The sequence below is a fragment of the Homo sapiens genome, chromosome 7 (genome assembly GCF_000001405.40).
Source record: "Homo sapiens chromosome 7, GRCh38.p14 Primary Assembly".
NCBI classification, from domain to species: Eukaryota; Metazoa; Chordata; class Mammalia; order Primates; family Hominidae; genus Homo; species Homo sapiens.
Window position 1 is genome coordinate 102,737,542 of NC_000007.14, and position 24,880 is coordinate 102,762,421.

General features: G+C 38.4%; 1 protein-coding gene and 2 pseudogenes across 18 annotated transcripts in view, besides 4 other annotated features; 2 read left to right on the forward strand and 1 right to left on the reverse strand.

Moving 5' to 3' along the window:
* Window positions 1-11,153, reverse strand: part of RASA4DP (RAS p21 protein activator 4D, pseudogene) — a 69,987-nt pseudogene extending 58,834 nt beyond the window's left edge. Inside the window, exon 1 of the transcript NR_146066.1 lies at window positions 11,063-11,153. The product of NR_146066.1 is annotated as an RAS p21 protein activator 4D, pseudogene (transcript). The remainder of the gene's footprint in view (window positions 1-11,062) is intronic.
* Window positions 11,148-11,237: a silencer, noted in NCBI's record as "silent region_18507". NCBI's record gives its function as "represses an Ori minimal core promoter by ATAC-STARR-seq in GM12878 lymphoblastoid cells {active_cell/tissue: GM12878}" and the evidence as "EXISTENCE:reporter gene assay evidence [ECO:0000049][PMID:35858748]".
* Window positions 11,148-11,475: a biological region, named in NCBI's record as "Sharpr-MPRA regulatory region 2028".
* Window positions 11,181-11,475: an enhancer, noted in NCBI's record as "tiled region #2028; HepG2 Activating DNase matched - State 1:Tss, and K562 Activating DNase unmatched - State 1:Tss". NCBI's record gives its function as "activates a minimal TATA promoter and a strong SV40 promoter by Sharpr-MPRA in HepG2 and K562 cells {active_cell/tissue: HepG2 | K562}" and the evidence as "EXISTENCE:reporter gene assay evidence [ECO:0000049][PMID:27701403]".
* Window positions 11,278-11,447: a silencer, noted in NCBI's record as "silent region_18508". NCBI's record gives its function as "represses an Ori minimal core promoter by ATAC-STARR-seq in GM12878 lymphoblastoid cells {active_cell/tissue: GM12878}" and the evidence as "EXISTENCE:reporter gene assay evidence [ECO:0000049][PMID:35858748]".
* FAM185A (family with sequence similarity 185 member A) overlaps window positions 11,458-24,880 on the forward strand; it is a 101,725-nt gene continuing 88,302 nt past the window's right edge. For 6 of the 17 annotated variants that reach the window (NR_146984.3, NR_146981.3, NR_146982.3 and 3 more), the window contains exons 1-4: window positions 11,458-11,876; window positions 14,151-14,260; window positions 20,313-20,405; window positions 23,732-23,870. Coding sequence is in view for 3 of the 17 variants with exons in the window: in NM_001145268.2 (NP_001138740.2) it covers window positions 11,667-12,117; window positions 14,151-14,260; window positions 20,313-20,405; window positions 23,732-23,870 (793 nt within the window). In the remaining 14 variants the exon portion in view is untranslated. Of the gene's footprint in view, window positions 12,118-14,150; window positions 14,261-20,312; window positions 20,406-23,731; window positions 23,871-24,880 lie in introns of all 17 variants that reach the window. The other 11 variants (NR_146986.3, NR_146989.2, NR_146985.2 and 8 more) reach the window with 7 other exon arrangements.
* RPL7AP39 (ribosomal protein L7a pseudogene 39) lies at window positions 17,589-18,448 on the forward strand (annotated as a pseudogene).

The following is a 24,880-nucleotide window of genomic DNA, read 5'->3' on the forward strand; positions in this document are numbered from 1 at the left end:
GCCAACTTTTCTCTCATGCAGGGTATGCAGAGGGACTCGAGTATGTGTGGATTTTGGTATCCACAGGGGTCTTAGAATGAATGCTCCACAGATACCAAGGGATGATTGTGTACTGCTTCACCTTATAATAACAAAATAATCATAATTACTCCGTCCTGCCAATTATATCATTGCTGTCATTAATTTTATTTTACTCATATAGAAGCATATATGTGTGTGAGTGTGTGTGTGAATGTGTGTGTGTGTGTGTACCTAAGCATATGTAATTGATTTTTCAGTCTGTTCAGCTTTTTATTTGTTAGGATGCAGTAGCACCAAGTTCCTTACATGAAGAACCCCAAACCAGAAGCTATTTTATTGTCCAATTGCATTGTATGGGACCTCCAGTACAATGCTGAATAAAAGTGGTTAAAAAAAAAAAAAAAAAAAAGGTGTTCCAGGCTGGGCGCGGTGGCTCACACCTGTAATCCCAGAACTTTGGGAGGCCGAGGCAAGTGGATCACCTGAGTTCGAGACCAGCCTGGCCAACATGGTGAAACCACGTCTCTACTAAAAATACAAATATTAGCCAGGTGTGGTGGTGCGCACCTGTAGTCCCAGCTACTAAGTGGGGATGAGAATTGCTTGAACCCGGGAGGCAGAGGTTGCAGTGAGCCAAGATCACACCACTGCACTCCAGCCTGGGCAACAAAGTGAGACTCCATCTCAAAACAACAACAACAACAACAAAAGTTGTTCCAAATCTCAAAGGGAAAGCATTCAGTCTTTCATTATTAAAGTGTAGCACTAAGTGTAAATTTTTCACAGATGCCTGTTGTTGGAGGAGGTTCTCTTCTCTTTCAAGTTAGTGGAGAGTTTTTATCAGGAATCGCACTGAGTTTTGCCAAAAAAAAATTTTTTTTTTTTTGAGATGGAGTCTTGCTCTGTCACTCAGGCTGGAGTGCAGTGGCGTGATCTCGGTTCACCGCAACCTCTGCCTCCCGGGGTGAAGCAATTCTCCTGCCTCAGCCTCCCGAGTAGCAGGGATTGCAGGCGTGTACCACCATGCCTGGCTAATTTTATATTTTTAGTAGAGATGGGGTTTCACCACGTTGGCCAGACTGGTCTCGAACTCCTGACCTCAGGTGATCCACCCACCTTGGGCTCCCAAAGTGCTGGGATTACAGGCATGAGCCACCGTGCCTGGCCTACCAAACACTTTTTTAAAAAATCTATTGAGATAATAAAAAAAATCTATAGAGACAATCACATTTTCCCTTTTTTTAGTTTGTGAGTGGTGAATTACACTGCTTAATTTTATTTATTTATTTATTTATTTATTTATTTATTTACTTACTTATTTTTTAAGACAGAGTCTCACTTTGTCACCCAGGTTGGAGTGTGATGGTACAATCATAGCTCACTGCAGCGTTGACATCCTGGACTCAACTGATTCTCCTGCCTCAGTGTCCTGGGTAGTTGGGACTACAGGTGTGTGCCACCACGACTGGCTAATTTTTTTCTTTCTTTTTTTTTTTTTTTTTTTGTAGAGACCGAGACTCACTATGTTGCCCAGGCTGATCTTGAACTCCTGGATTCAAGCGATCCTCCCACCTCGGCTTCCCAAATTGCTGGGATTATAGGCATAAGCCACCACACCTGGTCCACTGCTTGATTTTTGGTCATAAAATTAATCTTGCATTCGTGAGATAAACCCCACTTGGTCATGATGTATTATCCTTTTCCCATATGATTGATTTTGATTTGCTCATATAATGTTAAGGATTTTGCTTTTGTGTTCATGGGGGATTGTTTTCTAGTTCTTTTTTGGCAATATTTTTGTCTAATTTTTTTATCAAGACAATACTGTCCTCATAAAGTGAGTTGGGAAGAGTTCTCTCCTTTCTAATTTTTGAGACAGTTTATGTAAAACTGGTATTATTATTTCTCTTAAAATGTCTGGTAGAATTCACCTGTAAGGTCATCTGCTTCACAGATGGTGTTTTCTTTTTATGCATGATTTTTTGAAATTCACTTTTAAATTTACATAGAGTAAAAATTACTCTTTTTGTTTACAGTTCTGTGCATTCTATCAAATGCTTGTACGCAAGTTATCATGACTACAATCAAGATACAGAACAGTTCTTTCCCTTCCCTTGGCCCAAAGTAAATTCTTTCATGCAGTACCCCTTTGTAGTCAAACTTTATCTCCACATGTAACTCCTGGCAACAAGTGATCTGCTCCCTATCGTTTTTATTTAGCCTTTTCCAGAATATCATATAAGTGGAATCACAGAGTATGTAATCTTTCGAGTATAGCTTCTTTCACTTTGTAAAATGTTCTTGAGTTTTTTGTTTTTTGTTTATGTTTTTGTTTTCTTTTAGACGGAGTCTCACTCTGTTGCCCACGCTTAAGTGCAGTGGCACGATCTTGGTTCACTGCAACCTCTACCTCCCAGGTTCAAGGGATCCTCCTGCCTCAGCCATTCAAATAGCTGGGACTACAGGCACCCACCACCATACCTGGGTAATCTTTGTATTTTTAGTAGAGACGTGGTTTCGCCACGTTGGCCAAGCTGGTCTCGAAATTCTGACCTCAAGTAATCAGCCCACCTCGGCCTCCCAAAGTGCTGAGATTACAGGTGTGAGCCACTGCACCCGGCCTGTTCTTGAGATTTTTATCTATTTTGTTGTGTGTACCAATTGTCGCTTTTTATTACTGAGCAGCATTCCATTATGTGGATGTACTACAGTTTGCTTTTCCACTCACATTTGAGAGACCTTTGGGTTGTTTCAAGGTTTTTGGCGATTGTAAATAGTCTTTGATAATTTGGGGGTGGTAACTTTTCCTTTGAAAATTTTGGCCAGATTTTCCTGTTTCTGATATGTTGAGTAATTTGGGATTTTAAGATGGACAATTTGACTATTATGCTGTTCATGCCTGTAATCCCAGCCTTGGGAAGCCAAGGTGGGAGAATCACTTGAGGTCAGGAGTTTGAGACCAGCCTGGCCAACATGGTGAAACCCCGTCTCTATAAAAATTGGCCAGGTGTGGTGGCATGCACCAGTACTCCCAGCTACTTGGGAACCTGAGGCAGGAGAATCGCTTGAACCTGGGAGGCAGAGGTTGCAGTGAGCCGAGATTGCGCCATTGCACTCCAGCCTGGATGACACAGTGAGACTCCGTTTAAAAAAAAAAAAAAAAAGGATATTATGCTGGCTATGAAGCTCTGGGTCCTGTTAAAATCTTCTAAAGATACTGATTTTTGTTTGTTTGTTTTAGTAAGTAATCAATCTGGTTAGGCTCAGATCACAAGTTCTGTCATGCCTTCAGGGACAGTAATTTCAATATTTAGTTTTCAAAGCCTTTGCTATGTTCTTTGGGTCTGTACATTACATGCAACACTCGCGAGTTGTTCTGAGACCTTTGTGGTATTTTTATCATAGTTCATTTCTCAAAGCCTTAACTATGTTTTCTTGAGTAGTCCTCCCCTTATCTGCATGGGATGCGTTTATACGACTTCCAGTGGATGCCTCAAACTGTGGATAGTACCCTATATATCCTATACAGGCACTGTGGCTATAACTTTTGCAGTTTGAGATGTGATAGCAAAACTAGTACAAAATTGTCTTCTCCACAATTTCACAAATAGAAGATTTGTTCTTATCATAGATTTTAGCAACCTCAGCATATGATTTTTTTATTTCCTTATTAAGTCAAAAACTTTCACTTTTTCACTTAAAGGAAGCACTTTATGGCTCCTCTTTGGTATATCCAAGTAGTCAGCATCACTACTCTTGTACTTTGGGGCCCTTATGAAGTAAAATAGGGTTAGTTGAGTGCAAGCACTGAGATACATCAACAGTTGATCTGATAACTGAGATGGCTACGAAATGACTAGTGGGCAGGTGTCTGATTTAACAGTGACTTCAAAGCAGATATTATAAATATGTCTGAAGAATGAAAGGAAACCATATTTAAAGAATTAAAGAAGAGTACGATGTAATTCATCAGAGAATATCAATAAGTAGAAATTTTTAGGAAACCAAATTGAAATTCCTAAGTGGAAAATTATAATAATTGAAAAATTCGCTGGGGGGGTTCAATGGTAGATTTGAACAAGGAGATCAGTGAACTTGAAGACAGATCAGTAGAGATTACAGTAGTATCTCCTTATCCATGGGGGATATGTTCCAAGATCCCCAGTGGATGACTGAAACCAGGATTAGTACCAAACTCTGTATACACTATGAACTAATTTATTTTTCATTCTTCACAATTTCACAGGCAGAAGATTCATTCTAACCTTAGATCTTAGCAATCTCAGCATATAGTTTTTTTCTTTCCTTATTAAATTGAGAATGTTTCACTTTTTCACTCACAGGAAATACTTTATGGCTTCTCTTTGGTATGTCCTAATTGCTGGCATTACTACTCTTGTGCTTTGGAGCCATTATTAAGTAAAATAAGGGTTACTTGAATATGAGCACTGAGATATCACAACAGCAAATCTGATAACCAAAACAGCTAAGCTACTGAGTGACAATTGGGTGGGTAGGGTAGACAGTGTGGATATGCTGCACACTGGAGTGAGACAGTGCAAGATTTCATCATGTTTCTCAGAACTGTGTGCAATTTAAAATTTACAAGTTATTTCCAGAATTTTCCATTTAATATTTTCAGACTGCAGTTCATCATGGGAAACTGAAACCTCAGAAAGCAAAGCCAAAGATAAGAGGGGCCTACTGTACTCCATGTTTGTGCAGGAGTAGGGCTGACCCTGTTACTTACATAGTTTCAAGCATAGAATTAGGATCACCTTCTCTAGTTCTCTCCTACATGGGATTTCTGCTACACTTTACAGTTTTTGTGGGCCCCCTTTGTTATGGCCAAAAGGATCAGGCTGTCTTAAAGATTTTGCCTTATGCTGCCATTCACTTCTAAGTAGTTGGGGCTGCCCTCGAGGTAAAATATCAAGAAAAAAAGAGAAAGAGTATCGGGATTCCCTCACACACTCTCTTTCCAGTTCCTCTATTCAGAGAGACAGTGCTCTCTTTTATTCTTAGGAAACCTCACAGCCTGGCAGTGGCAGTGCAAATCTATGTTTGGAGCTGGCTTTGTGGCAGGGCCAGCAGACCAAAACGGAAAGAAAAAAATCGGGATTTCCCTACAATTTCTGTGTGGCAGGAGCCCCTTTTCTTCTACACAGTTCTCAATTCAGCCTGCTTTTAAGTGAAAGCCAGAAGATAAAGGAGGAAAAAAGAAACAAGGAAACTGAAACTTATTGGTATGTCTTATTTCTTAAACTGGGTGTTAGGCATAAAGATGTTCTTTTTACTATTATTCTTTAGACTTTATTCATACTTTATTCTTTTGTATGAATGAATTACTTTGCACAGAAGGAAATGAAGCAAAAATAAAAGAAAATAAAAATCGAAAACCTGGCCCATGACCATGGAAATTGGTCGAGTTCTGACTGAAGCAAATCCAAAATTGTTCTACAGGGAACAAGAAAAATTTTATTGTAATCTAGAATGTAAAGGATTTTCAGAAAAGAGAACTCCCGCTGAAGATGAGCTATAAATAAAAATTTATACGCCATGACAAGAAATAAACCACCATGAGACAGAGTTTGTTTATGTAGCAAAAGAGAAACAGCAACCTCATAACAGAACAGACTAGAATAATTTTGCATCAGTATGTTTAAAATAATTAAAAAGGCAAGAGAAGGTAAAGAAACCACAGTAAAATAAACGGGGCAGTTTAAAATAAGAGAAAACAGATTTTTTAAAGAACCAAATAAATATTCTAGCAATGATAATATAGTCATTGGGATGAAAAATTCAATGCAGATATTAAACAATGGATTAGCAAAGATTGGATTAGCAAAGATTCATTAGCAAAGATGTTCTAATGAATTAGAACATAGATTTGAGGAAATCATCCAGAATGAAATACAAAAAGATGAAGAGGCATAAATCATATAAACACAGTTAAGAGATATGGATGACAGAATGAGAAATTAAAATACATGTCTAAATGAGAGCTCCAAAAGTAAAGAATAGAAAGAGCAAGGACATGCTGAAGGTTTATAAATTGGAGACTTTAGACAAAGAAAGCATATTGACTTCTGAGCAGGACAAATAAAACTAAACCATATTAACAATTTTCTAACAATCTTCCATAAAATAAAAGAGGCAACATTTGCCCTTCTAATTTTACCCTAATATCAAAACCAGAAAAAGACATGAAAGAATACTTTGGACCAATATCCTTCATGAAAATAAAATGTAAAAATCCTCACAAATTTAGCAAGTTGAATCTAGCAATTTATAGAAAAGATAATGATGGCAGTGGCTGGTGCCATCACGCTGGCTGCAGCAGGGAGGAAAGGCTGGGACTGCAGACCCAGGCCTCCCACTCCATGGGGCAGTCAGGAGCCCCACCCTCCTGGACGGTGCTACAGCCGCCCAAACTGCAGCTGTAGATCCGAGCCTCCCTGCGCTCTTGAAGTGGGGCTGGGAACAGGCAGGATCTGCCCTCTTGGGTGCAGCTGCAGCCGCCTGACCAGCAGCTGCAGACCTGGGCCTCCCACAACATGGAGCAGGCAGGAGCTGGGGAATCCTGCCCCTGCTGAGTTGGCCTGCGGGAGCTCCCTGGGTGCAGCTGCCACTGCCCTCTCACCCACGGGACCCAGGCATCTCTGCAGCCTGTACCCTCTGGTGCCCCGGAAGGCCCCCCTATCCCTGCAGGCTTGGGGTGTCTGCTCCCGCTGCCTGACCTCTCTCCTCTCCTGACCTCTCTCCTCTCCTGGAGCTGGCTCAGATCTTGGAGTGGGGTTGGGGTTGAGCCCTGGGGCCATGAATGGCAGCGGGAGGCAGACAGATTCTTGGGTGGAAGGGGGCAGGTCCCCAGTAAGGCTCTACCTTCAGTCCAGGAAGGGCCTGAAGGCTGGGGGCCAACTGCCAGTACTGCATACCAGTTTGGGGACTCATGGGGCCTCTTCCAGCAGCCCATGGCTGCCCATGGACCAATCAGCATGAACTTCCTCCCCTCTGAGGTCCATAAAAGCCCTGGACTCAGCCAGAGCAGGGCAGAGGATGGCCAAAGGACGAAGAGGGTAGACAGACTACACAAGGACCAGCTGCAGAAAGGAGCTACCGTCTCTGCCGAGAGCTTCAGAGACAACCTGCCAGCAGACAGGAGGCACCCTCTCCAGGGCCTCCTCTCCACTGAGAGCTGCAGACATCAGGACAACCAGTAGTAGAGAGGAGCTACCCTCTCCAGGGCCACCTCTCTAATGAGAACTGAATGCTGGACAGATGATCTTCCTACAGAGAGGAGCTACCCACTGTGGGTCTCCTCTGAGCTCTTGTAACACTTAATAAAGCTCATCTTCGTCTCGTTCACCCTTCACTTGTCTGCGTACCTCATTCTTCCTGGATGCAGGACAAGAATTCGGGCAAAGGTGCTGTGGCCACAGAGGTTTCTGGCCAGGAAATTGGCAACGCAAAACTCCCTGACAATAACATGATGAAATGTAGCTTATTGAGGGAATGAAACACTTGAAAAACAATCACTGTAATACACCATATCAATAAATTAGAAGAAAAACAATATGATCATCTTCATAGACACAGAAAAAGCATTTGACAAAATGCAACATTCACTTATGATAAAAAGTCTAAGCAAATTAGAAAGTAAACTTCCTTAACTTGCTAAAGGGCATCTTTAAAAATCTACCGCTAACTTCCTAATTGTTGTTGAAATTTCCCTCATAAATAGGAAATAAATCAAGGATTTTTGCTTTTGCCACTCCAACTCAATATTGTAGTGGTGGTCTTAGCCAGTGCAATAACACCAGGAAAGAAAAGCCATACAGAGAAAGGAAGAAATAAAACTGTCTATTTGCAGTTTCACATAGAGATTTCAAATAGAATTAGTACCTATATATAGTCATTAAATACTTCTCAATGTTGATAGTTATTAGTTAAGATTGTTGAGTTTATTAATATTTCATAAGAATAATAGAAGTCATAAGATATATCTCTTTTTAAATAGTTTATAATTCAGAAAGTTAAGTTCTTATGGCTTTTCTCTTAAGCTAAATTGCTGAAGTCTTTGTTTTGGTTACCTTTTCTTCTGAAAACTCTCTTATGACCTCTGCTGTCCATTTATTGAACATAAATCATTAAATAAAATATTCGTTGACATTTATGTCTAGATGGTAAGAAATCTTCTGCCCATCTGATTATTTGAGTCAGTTTTAGGAAACAATATATGCTAAGAAATGCTTTAAAATTGTTTTCTTATAAATGTAATATATTTTCACTATTGATAACACACAAAAAATTGCAGTAACCACTCATCATATCACTGCTTAAAGATAACAACTGTTATCAAGTGGTACATATCCCTCTGGAATTGTTTCTGTAAAGTATAATTTTATGTTAAATTTATTATTATTATTACACAATTGAGATCATACTATACGTGCAATTTTGTATATATTCTTTTCACTTTATATATGGACTATTTCCCATATCAAGATATAATGTTTAAATTGTTGCATAATATATCAGCTATATACTAATTTATGTAATACTGTCTTATTTGCGAGCATTTAACATTTTTTTTTTGAGACAGAGTTTCAGTCTTGCCATCCAGGCTGGAGTGCAGTGGTGTGATCTCGGCTCACTGCAACCTCTACCTCCTGTGTTTAAATGATTCTCCTGTCTCAGCCTCCTGAGTAGCTGGGATTACAGGCATCCATCACCACGCCAAGCTAATTTTTAGCAGAGATGGAGTTTCACCGTGTTGGCCAGGCTGGTCCTGAACTCCTGACCTCAGGTGATCCACCCGTCTCAGCCTCCCAAAGTGCTGAAATTACAGGCATGAGCCACTGCACCTGGCCAGGGAGCATTTAAATTGATGCAATTATTTTCTCTTACAAGTAACCCTATAAAACGTAATTCCTTGAGCATACCTAATTTTATGCTTACATCCCCAAGAGCACAATTTCTGAGTCATAGAAAAAGCTTTTCATTCTTATTGCTGAATTGAACTCTAAAAATTTTGTGCTAACTTAACACTCCTACCAGAAGTATATGTTCATGACCACGGAAATAGCTTTTTAAAACTAAGATGTGAAAATATCTTAGAAACAAACTCTAAATAAGGAGAAAAAAGTTGTATATAATTTTCTACTTATGAGGTGAATAATTTCATTTTTTCTTCAAAGGTGTCAGGAAAATGGACGTTTTGGTAGAGTGATAAAAGGGCCAGACCTTCTAATTGCTTAATCTTAATGTTTCTGAATCTGAATCCTCATCTATAGTGTGAGGAGAATAATTTCCCTCCTAATTAGTGAGGATACATTGAGATGACGCATGTGAACATGGTTTGACAATTATAATGTCATATGGATGGAAGATACAACTTTTATTAATCACTGTTGATATGTGGACAGATTTGATACTCATTATACTGTTTTTAAGTGTCTATAACTTTAAATATTTTATGCCAATCTTAATATTAATAATTTTCTCCATTTTCAACATTGTATGATCAGCAAAGTAAATTTTCAGTCAATTCTATTTGGTTTTTATTTGAAAAAGTAAAATAATGATCATGCAACATAGAAAATTATAGTTCAGTTGCCAATTCCATTAACTTAGTTTGTCTCAGAAAAGGAAAAATTACCATAGACACAGAATTAACTATTAGAATTAATATTTAATCTAAAAATGTCTAGTGTTTCTACAGAAAATTTGAGTACCTTCTCAACTTCCTTAAACCAGTGCCTTTTTCAAATTTCTTTTCAAAGTTACACCTCTCAATTTTCATAAAAAATAGTTTGAAGATTATTCTGAATAATTATAACCAATGAAACACAAAGACAAGAAAAGAACTATTGCAGTGGGCCCTTGCTGAACCTGAGCTAGCACCTATAATGAGTGAGTCTTCACCAAAAGAATAAGGAGGGAGGAAGGACTAGAAGGACAGAAAAGAGGCAATGATAACTTAAGAGAACACTGAATTTTTAAAAATTTTAAAAAGGTAGTGGCTAGCAGAGAACCTGAGACTTGTACCCATGAGAACTTTAGCCCAGTCTATCTATCACGATAGCCCCAAGAATTCTGGTCATTGTACTTGGGTAAGGGCTTCTATTTTTTAAGGCACTTGCATTTTATGAAATGTTAGTGTTTGCAGGTGTCTTGGCTAAATAATTTAGGGAATACATTTTAGGAGGAAGTAGGGGCACAGAGGGGGAGAGAGAAACCAGGCAGGAAAGAAGAAAAAAAGAAAAAAGAAGAAAATAAATCTTTCTGTTCCCATTATTTTACTGCCTATAGAATTATAAAAGGTAAACACACACACACACACACACACACACACACACACACCCCTTATAGGGTCATTTAGAACCATCTTTCTTCATTTTAAAACTAAAGAAACAGGTCTAGGTGACACAGATGAAGCAGTGGCAGAGCCAGGAAAATAACCTGACCCTTGTCCCTGCTCTTTCCACCGCACCATGGTGACTCTCTTTTTTGTGTCTTTTTTTTTTTTTTCACTCTAAAACTGAGGATCATTTGTAGTCAAAGAGATCAATGCTATTCTCAAAACAAGTTCTGATCTCTCATAATTTTCTTGGTAACTCAGAATCAATGTTAAGTACGTTGAAATAAAAATACAGTTCTTTACACGGTAATTTTGTAGACTGTGCACCACGGTCCCATCCATTTTCTTACTTGATCCTTACAAAAACCCTTTGAGGCAAGGCAAGGAAGGTATTATTATCTACATTTTTAAAGTGAGCAAATTAAAACCCAAAGTAAGGTCACTTAGGGTCAGGACGGAGCAAGTACTCTATTCCTATATTTGGAATATAGGAGGGAATACACTTCCAAAGAGGCAATTCCCTCAAAAAGCACCAATCTTGCTCTTTACTTTCTTACCAAGGCATTCTCCATGCCCTGGAGATGCCCTCACTAAGTTAGTGAAGCTTGGATGTTGACATCCACAGAGGTTACTCCTAGTTTGCACCTAGTTGTCATCTTAAAAAGCGCAGTTTCTTACCCCTTCCCTTGGTCCTGATCCTTATTTAGGCTCCTATTTTTCTCTTTGGGATTTGGCGTCCTGGGTCTCACTCCAAAGCTCCACCCTCTCCAACCAAGAAGTCGCGTGCTTGGTATCCAAGGTGACCACGCAGCTTTACCCGCGTTGCCCCTTCCGTGCTTCCCATTGGCCAGTGGACTCCCATGTACCGCCCCTCCAATAGCCAATGGTCTTGAGACAAAGGGCGCCCGCCTTTCCAGCGATTCTAACACCTACCCTCTTACCCGTGCTCCCCTGCGCATTGCCTCCTGGGAAATGTGGTTTCTAAGAGGCAGAGCTCTGCGACTTAGAACTACCTATCCCGTCGGCCTTAGCGAAAGGGGGTGGACTTAGGCAAGGGGTCCAGGTCAGAGTTTAGAGCTTTCAAATCCCAACTTGCCCCTGGGGATTGCGCGGCTGATGTTTAGAACGCCTAGTCAAGCCAACCGGCTCGCTCTTGTTTCAGCAAACCCTGACTTACGTCTCCTATTTGACTTGAGGCGGCACAGTGGCCAAGTCGATTGGCCGTGGCAAGTGACCCTCCCTGTGGCTGAAGTGTTCTGAGGACTGGCGAGAGAGGCGCGCCATGCTTGCCCCCTGCTCAGGTTGGGAGCTTGGCTGCTTCCGTCTCTGTCTCCGTCAGGTCCGACTGTGGGCTGGCGCTGGGCGCTGGGCTTGCTGGGCTTGCCAAGCCAGGCCGTACAGCTCAGGTGGGAGCGAGCGCTGGCCCGGATCGGAGACTGAGGTCCCTCCGCCTGGCCCGGGGCGCCGAACTCTGAAGGAGTGGACACTGCAGGTGAGCCCGTTTGGTCGGCTGCGGGCGCGGCTCCCGTGCCACCTGGCCGTGAGGCCCCTGGACCCCCTCACCTACCCGGATGGCGACCGCGTGCTGGTCGCGGTGTGCGGCGTGGAGGGCGGCGTGCGGGGCCTGGACGGCCTGCAGGTGAAGTACGACGAGGATCTGGAGGAGATGGCCATTGTGTCTGATACTATCCACCCCCAGGCGTCCGTGGAGGTGAACGCGCCCCTGAAGTTTGGCAAGTGAAGTGAAGTGAAAACGGGTTTGGGTCCCAGGGAACGCACAGTGAACTTAATAAATGTGGTCGACGTGCACTTTTAATTGGTCCTGGCTCTCTAAACCTAATTTACAGTTGGCCCCTTCGGAAATGCACCTTTTCCTCTGTTCTGTTCTTGAGTGTCCGAGTAGTATTTAAAAATTAGGTTCCCAATTATAGAAATTTTATACATCGAATGGAAACATGATTTGGTATAATCCAGGTCAAATTCTATTTCTGGAGCCGCTTGTGTTCTCCTTTATCCCGTTGTCATTAGCAAACTGGCTTATTTTTCAAGGTTGAAGTTTCTTGACAATTCATTCAATGGTATGGCAGTCCATCTACATTTCATCTTGCTCACAGCCTGGGGGTCTGTCCCAAAACAGCCCTGTCAATAGGATGTTCCGGGTATCACCTGGTTTGAGTATTTGGTTTTAGACGGGCGCCCAGCTTCTTACTGTTATATTTCCATTCTTTTTGGCCTAAGTTTTCCATGAGTAGCAAGCTTTGAAGAAAAACACATGGTAAGCCTGCCTAGGAAGCTTCAATAATAATGCCTGCAAGATACCTTTCTTAGCTTTTCCTAAATGGCAAGCCACTGTGTACACACACTTTTCTAGGAAGGGCTCCCCAGACTGTCATTCTTCCTGGGACTGATGGAAGATATTGATGATGATGATGATAGTAATAATAATAGCATTTAGCATTTTTAAGATCATCTTTTATAATGCTTAGAGTTGCCCAAATAGTAGATGCCGTAGTCCTCCCTTATCCACCGTTTGGCTGTCTCAGTTTGTTACCTGCCTCAGCTGTTGTAGGAAAATATTAAGATATTTTGACAGATCACAGTAATATAACTTTTATTACAGTATATTGTTATAATTGCTGTATTTGTTATTATTGTTCATCTCTTACTATGCCTAGTTTATAAATTAAACTTGATCATTGATATGTATACAGGAAAAAACATAGAATATATAGGATTTGGTACTATTTGTGGTTTCAGGAATCAAGTGGGGGGGCGGGTCTTGCCTACTTTAAGAGAAATCATCAATATTTATGTTAATTCCAAATTAAATATCAGCGTTTTTAATTTTTAAAATTTGTATACAGAGATGCCTGCAGTTACATCTTAAATAGACAGCCAAGGATGGCATTTGTAATTCCTTATTTTCCAAACTTGCTTCATATACCACTGCCATTTGTCCACAATCTTGTGGGGTTTTTTGTTTGTTTGTTTTGGTTTTTTTTGAGACTGCATCTCACTCACTCTGCCACGCAGGCTGGAGTACAGGTGCACAATCATGGCCCACTGCAGTCTTGACTTCACGGTTTTAAGCAATCTTCTCGCCTCCACCTCCTGAGTAGCTGGGACTACAGGTGCATGCTACCATGCCCGGCTAATGTTTTTGTTTTTTTGTAGAAATGGAGTTTTGCTACATTGTCCAGGCTGGTCTTGAACTCCTGGGCTTCAAGCAATCCTCCTTCCTCGGCCTCCCAAAGTGCTGGTATTACAGGCATGAGCCACTGCTCATGGCCTAATCTTGTAGTTTTAATAGTATATATTAGCTTTTTCAAAGTTGTTCCCATTTTTAAAAAATTACTTCAAATACCTGTGATATAGTTGCATGGTAATATTTTCATTTTTTAAGTATGAAAGGTTAGACATAGGATTTGAAAACCTAAGTCATGATCATATATACTGGGGAAGAGGCTTCTACAGTCTTTCACAGGAGTACTTAACAGAATCGTAGTCTCCTTTACTTCCCATCTATGTTAGTTCTCTTTAGGTGATTTAGGCCAGTAGAAATAACTGCTCTGTTTCTAAAAACGGGCAGAAAGGCTATTGTTTTTGGTCCCGTTGCTGTGGTAGAAGACCCCTTACCTTTACAGTATGCACTTTCCAGGATTCAGCAATATTACGGACATAACTGAGGAGTTGGGTTTCTAGGTTAAAATGCTTTGGAGCTTATAAACTGCAGTACTAACTTGCTTTTTTCTTTTTTTACTTCTAGGTTTAGATATCAAGTCATCAGGGTCTGGCTGTGTAAAAGTTCAAAGTATTGAGGGTGATAATTGCAAAATTGAAACAGAGCATGGGACTAGTATCTTGCAGTCTGTTAAGGTATAGCATTTTTCTAATTTTATTTCACTATTATTTTTTTAAAAGCCTTAAGCTATGAATCGTACTATCAAACTCAAGAGATTCTTCTGTTTTTCAGAACATTGTCATTCATTCATCTCTCAGAAAGTCCTTGGCAAACATTTTGCCTTGAAATCAGTTCTAGTAAAGTACAGAGGTTATAGCAGTTTTGAGGTTTTGCCTCAAATTTCTTTTGGATTTAATTTCAAAGTGTACAGTGAAACTAATAGTATTTTCCTAGTATTCTGAAATCTTACTAAAGAAATTTTAGTTTCCACAAATGATTTTCTTCCATTTTATTAAAGAGTAAGGAAGAATCTTTATGCACTATAAATGTGCTTAAATATTAGATGACTTTAATCACATTTTTAATGTACCAGGTAGCTCATTACTTAAGGATTAAGTAGTTATTTGTGCAAAGTAACATATGATTCATCTTGTTTTGTAATTAAAATTTTTTTTTTTTTTTTTGAGATGGAGTCTTACTCTGTCACCAGGCTGGAGTGCAGTGGTGCAATCTCAGCTCACTGCAACCTCTGACTCCCTGGTACAAGCAATTCTCCTGCCTCAGCCTCCCAAGTAGCTGGGATTACAGGCATGCACCACCACACTCAGTTAATTTTTGTATATTTAGTAGAGACAGGGTTTCACCATGTTGGCCAGGCTGGTCTCGATCTCCTGACCTCGTGATCCGCCTGCCTTGGCCTCCCAAAGTGCTAGGATTACAGGCATGAGCCACTGCGTCCGGCTGTAATTAATTTTTTTTTTTTTTTTTAGTGTTTTCTTTGTAGAGACAGTGTCTCACTGTATTGCCCAGGCTGGTCTTGCACTCATGGGCTCAAGTGATCCTCCTGCCTTGGGCTCATGAAGTGCTGGGATTACAGGTGTGAGTCACCATGACTGACCTATATTTAATTTTTTAAAGATTAGACTGGTGTTAGCTGTAAATAGTTTGAAATACCTCTCTGATAGGTGCTAGCTTATTGTTACTCTTAGTGCTTCTTGCATTTGCATAGTCAAAACTTGATACTTTTGTGAACTTTGAAAGCATGCAATTTTGTTGAAGTCAGTCATCTTTGCTTCATAATTGCAAAATATTTTCATTTTTAGATTTCTAAACACTAGTTAGAATAATTTGATGCATTTTTAATTTTTACATATTTTTTCTTTCATCCACCTTTATTTGCGTATCTGCCATCAGCATGTGTCCACATATGAATCAGTTCAAATAAATTTTTGGCACAAATATCATAAAAGATTAACATTACCATCACAAGTCCTTTTAGCAAAATAAGTTGGTTCAGATTCTTGTTGTAAAAGATTGTGTAATAAGGTCTTCATGTTGAATGACTAGGTGAGGATATCATAATTCTTTTTTGTCCTTAGAAATATTTTGTTCAGTCATTGATACTTAAGTTTCAGAAAACTAATCTAGACTTGTCCTCTGAAGACTCAAGAGTTTGAGATTTCCAATTTCACAATCAAAATTAGAATCTAGTATACTGCTGTCTCTGCATTTATGTTTTGATTAATCTGATAGTTCTGAAAGATCTTTCTCTGTTGATTTTCTTCTTTTATGCCATTGTAGGCATAAAATTAAAAGTGGTTTCTTAGCCTTGGCAATACAAACCTTTTCAGTCAGGTGATTTGTTGTGGGGGCCTGTCTTGTGCAGTATAGGATATTTAGCACCATCTTTGGCCTCTACCTTTTAGATGCCAGTAGCATGCTCCTCAGTTGTGACAAGGGAAAATGTCTCCAGACATTGCCAAATATCTTCTAGAGACAAAATCATCTCCAGTTGAGAACGACTGCTTTATGCAAGTCCATCATTCTTCTGTTTTCTTATTTAGTTTTTTTAAAAAACATAGTTGGGAATAATTTATGAATAATGATGAAATAACTCCTAGGATGATGAATTAGCAAAAAAAAAAATTAAAAATAAGAACACTATTATCCCATAATGTATTTCAGGTTTATAAAAGTCCAATGGACCAATTAATGGTAATTACAGGATAGAAAGAGTTTTGTTCTATTTTTTTAAAAGTAAGTACATTTTCTATTTATTCCTTGAAAGACCTCCCAAGAAATAACAGAAATCATGAAATATCAGTTCTTACAAATAAAATAGCTCAAAACAAGAAATTCATGAAAAATTACGCCTGTGGATACTAATGGTATACCAAGGGTTAAGAGAATTATCCTTGAGATCATAGGATTTAACTAACTTCAATTCACAAATGAGAACACTTTGGTAAAATATCTGGTTTAAGTTTTAAGTATCGTACAATAATATCATTACCTTGAATTAGTGGTCACCTGTTGATATGTGTCTCTTTCATTAACTTAAGGACTTGAAATATAGTTGACCTACATAATAAAAAAAATTTTTTTTTTTTTTGAGGCGGAGTCTCACTCTGTTGCCCAGGCTGGAGTGCAATGACACGATCTTGGCTCACTGCAACCTCCGCCTCCTGGGTTCAAGTGATTCTCCCACCTCAGCCTCCCGAGTAGCTGGGATTACAGGCACCCGCTATCATGCTCGGCTAATTTTGGCCAGGCATGTTGGCCAGGCTTGTCTTGAACTCCTTTCCTCACATGATCTGCCCCACCTTGGCCTCCCAAAGTTCTGGGATTACAGGCATGAGCCACCGTGCTCAGCCCTACATAATAAAATTTTTATAGCAATAATAATAACTACTGTTAATAAGTCCTTATTATGTACCAGGAATCTTAGCTAAACCTTCATTTAATCCTTGAATTTTCTCCATTTTATCAAGGAAGAAACTAGAAGGCACCAAGAGATTGAGGAACTCACTTGCGTTCACATAGCTAAAAAAAATTGAGCTGGGATTTGACCTTGGGTCTTTCTGATTTCCAAGCTCATGCTTTTTCCACCTTTATTTATTGTCCTGACAAAACATATGGTAAGACCACATTTGTACAGCATCCTTAGGGAATAAGATAAGTGCATTTTTTAGGCAACAGACCCTTAACTAATTGAATGTCACACATTTGCATTTTTTAAATGCAGTATAATTTATTTTCTAAATAATTTCTGATTTATTTAAACATTTAACTATTTGGTTTTATGTTTTTAAAAATTCTATAATCAACTTCACATTTTTTGGGGAATTAGATGAGCTTTAAATTATAACAGTAGCTCTTACTATTTTTGAACCTTAGACCTCTTAGAAAATCTAATTGTCTCCTTAAGAAGAAAAAAATGCATGTCTATGAAATTTTACTTATAATTTTGTAAGTTCATGTGAGCTTGGTTAAGAGTTCTTGACTTAAAACAACAAGTGTGCGCCTCCCGTCGCCCAAGATGCCGAAAGGAAAGGAGGCCAAGGGGAAGAAGTTGGCTCTGGCCCCTGCTTTTGTGAAGAAGCAGGAGGCCAAGAAAGTGGTGAATCCCCTGTTTGAGAAAAGGCCTAAGAATTTTGGCATTGGACAGGACATCCAGCCCAAAAGAGACCTCACCTGCTTTGTGAAATGGCCCCGCTATATCAGGTTGCAATGGCAGAGATCCATACTCTATAAGCAGCTGAAAGTGCCTCCTGCGATTAACCAGTTCACCCAGGCCCTGGAAGGCCAAACAGCTACTCAGCTGCTTAAGCTGGCCCACAAATACAGACCAGAGACAAAGCAAGAGAAGAAGCGGAGGCTGTTGGCCCAGGCAGAGTTGTGGGCAAAGGGGACCTCCCCATTAAGAGACCACCTGTCTTTCGAGCAGGAGTTAACACCATCACCACCTTTGTGGATAACAAGAAAGCTCCGCTGGTGGTGACTGCACACGACATGGATCCCATTGAGCTGACTGTTTTCCTGCCTGTCCTGTGTCATAAAATGGGAGCCACTTGCTGCATTATCAAGGGGAAGGCAAGACTGGGATGTCTAGTTCACAGGAAGACCTACACCACTGTCGACTTCACACAGGTTAACTCAGAAGACAAAGGAGCTTTGGCTAAGCTGATGGAAGCTATCGGGACCAATTACAATGCCAGATACGATGAGACCCACTGTCACTGGGACGGCAATGTCCTGGGTCCCAAGTCTGTGGCTCACATTGCCAAGCTCGAAAAGGCAAAGGCTAAAGAACTTGCCACTAAACTGGGTTAAATGTACACTGTTGTGTTTTCTGTACATAAAAATAATTAAAATAATTAAAAAATAAAAAAAAGTGCTTTGTGGATAGTCTTTTCAAAGGTTTATCACATATTTGATAAGGAGTATATTAAATATAATTTGACTTCAGACTCATGTCTCTGGGCATAACGTAGTTAACCATGCTATAGTACAGATTTTTTTTCTCTAAGAGACAGGGTCTTGATGTGTTGCCCACGCCGGAGTGCAGTAGCACGATCCTAGCTCACTGAATCCTCAAACATCTGGGCTCAAGTGATCCATATCTCTTTATGTAACAAAACTAAAGACGTATATAATGATTAAGGGAAAACATCTGGGCTCAAGTGATCCATATCTCTTTATGTAATAAAACTAAAGACATATATAATGATTAAGGGAAAATAAACTACTCTAAAAAAAAATCAGACTAGGCCGGGTGCAGTGGCTCATGCCTGTAATCCCAGCACTTTGGAAGGCTGAGGCGGGTGGATCACGAGGTCAAGAGATCGAGACTATCCTGGCCAACACGGTGAAACCCCATCTCTACTAAAAATACAAAAAATTAGCCTGGCGTGATGGCATACGCTTGTAGTCCCAGCTACGTGGGAGGCTGAGGCAGGAGAATCGCTTGAACCCAGGAGGTGGAGCTTGCAGTGAGCCGAGATCTCACCACTGCACTTCAGCCTGGGCGACAGAGCGAGACTCTGTCTAAAAACAAAAACAAAAAACAATAGACCAAACATCTAATGGCTCATATATAATATGAGTTTATTTCTTACTTGTGTCCAGGTGTATGGGTGGGTCTTTTTCATTCAGTGATTCTAGGTTCCTTCCGTCTTCCGGCTCTGCCATCTTTTAGAGCCTTGTTATATTCTGGACCCACTTGGTGGAATGAGAAGAGCACAGAGAAGGCACACTTGTTCTAAAAGCACCAACCTGGAAATGGCATATAGCATTTCCACTTACGTTATGTTGGTAACAACTTAACAACACCTAAGAGGTAAAGGAAGCTGGAAAATGTGGTCTTGCCATGGGTCAAGCTATACTGCTTTTACTTTGGAAAAAAATGGATTTTGATGAGCCAATAGTAGTGTTTGCCATAGTTCTCAAGTCCAAAATCAAGTCACTCACACACACACACATACACATACTTTTGTTTTCTGTCTTGCAGAATAGGCTAACTGGCTTGTGACTGCTGTTTTGTGCTCGGAGGCATTTTTACTTAGTTTCTGGGATGTGTTGTGCTAGAAGGTTTAAGTGGGCTGTTAACCTAATGTGTATTCTGTCCTTCAGACCGGTCCAGCGTTAAGAGTGTGGGCTTTGGAATCATACAGAACTTGATTCTAATTGTTACTTTAGATTTTGGGTTTTTTTCTGTGTCACCCTGATAAAGTGATTTACCTTTCTGAATCTTGGCATTCTTCCTCTGTAAAATGGGAAAAATGTAATACTTATCTCTCTGGTTTGTCGTGAGGATTAAATGATAGTTCATGTGAAGTAGCTAACATGGTATCTGGTGCAGAGAAAATGCCAAATAAGTGATAACTATTATTGTTATTAATGATGAATAGTAACTGATTATTATTGTCATCTTCATCACTGTGGATATTTAGTTAGCTGGTCACAGTGATTTTTGATTCCCAAGTCCTTCATCAGTGAAGCTACCAGAATACCCAAGTATCTCTTGTTTTTCCCTTAGAGTCCAAGTGGCTTATTTAATCCCTTTAACAGCAGTTGACATTTTTTTCCAGTTGATGTCATTATTCGAAGCAGTGAGTTTCTATTTCATTCCTTATTGTTCTTTTGTTGCTTTGTCAGTATTAATACAGAAATATTGAAAATGTTTCACTAGTATAAGTCACACTTACTCTCTTTTTCACTATATGTATTTTTAAATTTGTCTTTCAGGGTCAAAAATTGCATGTTCAAACAAAAGGAGGCAAAGTGATCTGTCTGGGAACAGTTTATGGAAATATAGATATTCATGCATCAGATAAAAGTGTAAGATTGAAACTTTCTTTTTTTTTTTAGTAATTGCAACTTTGCTTCCATTTGGCTCACCAAGTTGGTAGGTTCTACAAAGTTCGTAGCATAACATTCCCTTTTTAATGCATTTTAGTTCATAAGTAAATTCAAATTTGAAATTGAAGTGATGAAATAATATACAACTTAAGTTTTAGTTTGTGGTTTAATACTTTTGACAGTTACTTAGTTCCTAGTCTGGAATCAATAAAAACTTAAATGCTTACTATTTAACTCTAGTTCTGAAAAGATTTTTATTTTTATCATCATAGATTAAAATAGATGATTAAGTAATATCACCAGTAACTGGATTGGATTTTTCTTGTGTTAGGTTTATTTGAGTATTTTCTAAGACCTTTTTACTTCGCCCTTAGGCAAATTGAAGGATGTTTCAAAACTCAGCTTTCTTCAGTATTTTCCACAAGGTGGCACCATTAGATAGCTTTACTGCTCTCACAGCTTTTTTTTTTTTTTTTTTTTTTTTTTTTTTTTATAGTAGCTATTGGGATTTTTGTTGTTATAGGAAGATAGTTGGTATTTTTTAATCAACTCCTTTTGTAGCTTTTGGTTATTTAGCATAGTATTAAGAGTAAAGGTATAATTTTGGAATTATAAATTGTCATTTAAAAAATGTGATTGATAATGTATCTTTGAGAAAAAGTTTCCTTTTATTTTACACTTATACAATTTGCAAGAGCTTTTTTGTTTCTTATAAATTTGCTAAATTCCATAGTCAGCTTTATTTTCAGATAATTGGTGGGGAGGAGTTGCAAGCATATTTTGTATGTAGATTATTGTTGGCATAATTAAACAAGATAGACTATAACAGTAATTGTTTCTGTTGTTTTATCTTCCATCACCTTCCTACAAATTTGCTATATTCCATGGTCACTTTATTTTCAGAGTTGGTGGGGAGGAGTTGTGAGCACATTTTATATGTAGATTATTGTTGGCATAATTAAACAAGGTAGGTTATAACAGTAATTGTTTCTGTTGTTTTATCTTCCATCACCTTTCTCTTAGACCCCGTGGGAGGTTGTTTAAACCTAAACATTTAAAAATACTCTGTAAATTATACTAGGAAAGTGTTGAAAGACACTGTGTGGCCTTATGCTGCAGCTTTTTTGAGATGGCATTTAGTTTTACTTTTTAGATTGCTGTGGTCTTGGAGGTGCAAGAGGGAAATTAGACAAATTTACAGCCCCTTCAAACTCAGTAAATGATGGCTAATGTTATTGAAATAAGTTACTAGAATATTGTAACATTTGCATTCAAATATAAGTATCAAAGAATTTAATATCTTAATCATTTGCTACCTTGAATATCTTGGCCACTGTTTCCTCTCAGTTATTTATTTGTTCCAATGTTTATGGTTTATTGAATATTCATGTGTTTTACTTGCTATTATACAATTTTATTTCTTGATTGAGTTTTGTTATGTACTAAAGAATCAGTCTAGGGTTTTTTTCCTATTTTTATTACATATAGTATTGATTTTTAATGTATATTTCTAAGTTTGTAGTTTTTATAAAACATAAAATAAATACTTGTGAAATCTATTAACTTTTAATACACAACTTTCATAGAAATGTGATTTGGATATTTGAGAGACAAATATAGTGAATTAGTTAAGAGCACAGAATATATTCAGAGCCAAACTACCTGTGTTTGAATTCTGGCTCCACCATTCACTAAGCTCTATAACTGGACAAATTACTTAACCTCTGTGTGTCTCAATTTTTTGGAAAATTGGGTAATAGTAATAGAACAAACTAAAAAAATCCTCTATTAAGAGGATTAAATGAGTTAATACAGGTAAAATACTTAAAACAACGTCTGGCACATAGCTAAGTCTAATGTAATGCTTACCACGATGATGATGATAAAGGTAAAGGAATCACAGGAAAGATAACTTGGACGGGTTCTAGACCTACCAGTTAGCTTCCCAGAGACTCAGTTTCATTATTCAGCAAACAGGATGGTGATATTTGCTTTGTCCACTTAACAAGGTTGTGAGAATCAAATGAGCACTATAAATAATAGCATCATTATTCTACATGACTGTTTTTAAATTGTGTTAATTTCAGTATCTAAGTTTAGTTTTATAACTTAGCAGAGAACACAGAAACCCATTTCGTCTATTTGGTGAATTGATGACATAGTTGTCAGTTTTCCTCTCAGTCTGGGCTATGAAGCCACAGTACTTCCTTAAAACTTGGCTTTCATTATTTGTAAGAACTATATATATGTATTTACATATATATTCATAATAACTAAGTGAAAAATTTTTCTTTTCATGTAGAAAAGAAAATTTATAGCAATACCTCTGTCAGGAAGATACTGATTTTTAAATCTACTTTTTGTTCTGTCATTAAATAGTAAATTTAAATTCCTTCCATTTAGTTTGGTGGAAAGCTACTGCCTTATTAGATGTCAAGTGGAAAAGTTCTAGAAATAATAGTGTATTCACTAATTAATGTACTAAAAGAGAAAAATCATGATAAATCAATAGAATCAGATAAAGTATGTGCTAAAATTCAAAACCTATTCATGATTTAAATAGCAAAAGCAATCAAACAAAGTTGAAATAGAAGGGAATGTCCTTAATCTGATAAAAATTATTTTAAAAATATCTATAGCAAACATCATGCTTAATGGTGAAATGTTGTAAACTTTTCTTTTGAGAACAGGAATAAGACAAGGATGCCTGCTGTCCCATTGCTTCTGCTAGCTGCTATTCACTGTTGAATTGCGGGCCTGAGACAGATGGTTAAGGCAAGAAAAAGAAAGAAAAAGCAGGAAAAAAAGTATTAATATAAGGATTGGAAGGGAGGAAATGAAGCCATCACTTGTAGACAGTATAATAACACATATATAATTTTTAAAAGTACAGATAAATTATTAGGATTAGTGACTTTAGTGAAGTTGTTGGATTAAGATCAAATACAAAGTCAATTAGGATAAAATGAAATTTTAAAAGATACCTTGTACAATAGCACTTAAAAATATCTAAAAGGAATAAATCTAATAAAAGATTAAGAATTTTATATAGGACATATAAAACATTAAGAGAAATTAAAGGAGACCTAAGTCAATGGGGGAATGTATTGGATCTGTTCCATATTCTGCAGAGAATGCACTATTGCTCAGAATCTCGTAATTAGAGGTAGGGAATCAGAGTCAATAAAGTGATTGTGTACTAGGTAGTAACATTTTATGTAGTTATCCACTGATTCCACAGGTAGCATTTTGGCTTTTTACCAGTCTTTGTTTTATAATGAACTGATTAGTCTTTCTCTTACTAGGCTGTGACCATAGATAAACTGCAGGGAAGTTCTGTTACTGTATCTACCGAAGATGGTTTGCTGAAAGCCAAGTATCTTTATACAGAATCATCATTTCTGTCTTCTGCTGCTGGGGATATTACATTAGGAAGTGTTCATGGTAAGCTGACAAAGGCATAATACATCTGAGACTTTCCACATAGCATAAATTTTAAGAGATGACTCTGTAGTTGAAAAAAGGATCAGGAAACTGGCCTTTTAAATAATGAAATGCAGACTAACCATCTTTTTAAAAAAAAAAACCATAAAAATAAAATGACTCATAAAGCTAATTTAATTTTATTTGTGCAAGAGATTAAAGATTATGCTGTTATATATGGAACTAATAGTAAGTCTAATTTTTAATGCATTTCTTTTTTCTTTTTTTTTTGAGACAGAGTCTTGCTCTGTTGCCTAGGCTGGAGTGCAGTGGCGTGACACTGGCTCACTGCACCCTCCACCTTTCACGTTCAGGTGATTCTCCCACCCCAACCTCCCGAGAAGCTGGGACTACAGGTGTGCGCTATCACGCTAGGCTAATTTTTGTATTTTTAGTGGAGATGGGGTTTCGCCATGTTGCCCAGGCTGATCTCAAACTCCTGGGCCCAAGCGACCCACCCCCTTGGCCTCCCAAAGTGCTAGGATTACAGGTGTGAGCCACACTGCATCCAGCCTGTGTTTTCTTATAATAGGAAACAAATAGCAAGGAAATACATGCAGGAGATGAAGTAAAAGCAGTGTTAGGTAAAGATGGGTACTGAATGATTGCTTTTATGTTAACATAAGAAAGCTGAGGGTTAAATTAATGAAACATTTGGTGGAAGGTAATTATAGCAACTCTGATACTAACTTTATTTTAAATGTTTTGCGTGTATTTGTACTGGCACCAGGTTTTCTCAGCACCCTGTTGTTTCCATTTTCTTTGATAAATATCCTCTTGTGGTTTCTAAATCCTGTCTCTGCAAGAAATATTACATAGTTAATGTTTGCATTATTGAAAGAAAATAAGAGTATAATGATGAGGTAATATGGCAAAGGGCATGCTGGTGTTCAGTGTCACTCAGCTGCTTCTTGAATTTCCACAGAGCAGATGATTCAAATCCAGGTATGTTTTCTGAAATATATACAGAT